At 44.2% G+C, this 1,608-nt stretch overlaps 1 annotated feature.

The window, feature by feature from the left end:
- Positions 610-779: an enhancer, noted in NCBI's record as "experimental_99715 CRE fragment used in MPRA reporter constructs". NCBI's record gives its function as "activates a minimal promoter by MPRAs in K562 erythroleukemia cells, with activity observed for both the introgressed and non-introgressed 7:57439486 variant alleles {active_cell/tissue: K562}" and the evidence as "EXISTENCE:reporter gene assay evidence [ECO:0000049][PMID:34662402]".

Genomic DNA, 1,608 nt, shown 5'->3' with positions numbered 1-1,608 from the left:
ATCATTATCCCCATTTCACAGCTGAGGAAACTGAGACTCAGGGAAATGAAGTGACTCGACTGAGGTTACACCAATAGGAAGGTCCAAGTCTCAGATGGGGGGAAATATTTATAACGAAACGCAAAGATCTTGGAGGAGGCGGTGGATTCTTGGTTGTACACATCGATCAAAGCTCATCAAACTGTACACTTTAAATCAGAGGTTCTCAACCCAGGATGGTTTACCCCCAGGAGACATTCGGCAAAGTGCAGAGACATTTGGTCAGCATGGGGGTAGGTGATGCTACTGGTGTCTCGTGGGTAGAGGCAGGAGATGCCGCTCAACATCCTACAGTGCCCAGGACAGCCGCCACAGCAAAGAATTGTCTGACCCAAAATGTCAACAGTGCTAGGTTGAGAAACTCTGCTTTGAAGGAATGCAGTTTACTGAACATAAATTATATATTCCATTTATTAAGGTATAATCAATGCATTTTTTGTAAAATAGAAAAGAACTAACATAATTGGAAAAGAAAGAAACCAACTAAGCACAAAACAATGGCCAAATAATTTAAAAAGGCAAAGAACAGATCAGAAAATACAAAGAGCTAATACATAAATGATAAGGGGCTCCACATTAATACTAACAAGAGAAATTCAAATTATAACAAATGGCCTGGGGTTGCCTCATGTCTGTAATCCCTGCTCTTTGGGACGCTGAGTTAGGAGGATCGCTTGAAGTCAGGAGTTTGGGAATAGCCTAGGCAACATAGTAAGACCCCCATCGCTACAAAAAAATTAAAAATTAGCTAGGTGTGGTGGCATCAGTCTGTAGTCCCAGCTTCTCAGGGGGCTGAGGTAGGAGGATGGCTTGAGCCCAGGAGTTTGAGGCTGCAATGAGCTATAGCTAAAAAAAAAATTACAACAAAAATAATCATAATGGGAATTTTTTTTAAATGACAGATGGCTTGGTGAGTGTGGGGGAAGTAGGCCCTCTCATCCTCTCATGTGTGGGTGGAGGGAGTGCAAATTGGCAAAGCCCTGGTGGTGATGAGGTAGCTCTATCCATCATTGCCCAGCATGCCCAATTTTGTAGAAATACACATGCGCTCAGAGAGCTGCCTGCGGATGCTCACTGTGGTATTGTTTATAATAGTGAAGTTTTGGCAGGAAAACTAAATATCAATGAATGTGGAATTTGGTAAATAAACCATGGTCCATCCATGCCATGGAATACCATGTAGCAGATCAAAATGATAAGGCAAATCTCTACACACATAGTTAGGCGGAACAGAAAAGCAGGCTGCAAAACCACATTTACAATCTCTTTCGAATCAGGCAGCACAAAAGAAATCCAGGGCTGATGCCGCTAGCACTTGCCATCATTCATCACCCCTTTTCCCAAGTTTTGAATGGGGCAGCAATGTGCCCAAGTGAAATAAGACCTCCCCAGACTCCCCTGAAACCACGCAGGTGCAATGGTAGCCATGAGACCCAGGGTGCACACACTTTGTCCCTTCCCTGCCCTCTTGCCTTGCTGAGAAGCAACCCTCTTGAGCCAGGAGTTTGAAAGTCACATACCAACATGGGACACCAGGAAGCTGGTCACTGGTGATGTCCCTGAGCAAGT

Source organism: Homo sapiens, chromosome 7 (assembly GCF_000001405.40).
Source record: "Homo sapiens chromosome 7, GRCh38.p14 Primary Assembly".
Lineage (NCBI taxonomy): Eukaryota > Metazoa > Chordata > Mammalia > Primates > Hominidae > Homo > Homo sapiens.
The sequence above is the reverse complement of the archived record's forward strand: the minus strand, read 5'-3'. Positions and strand labels throughout refer to the sequence as shown.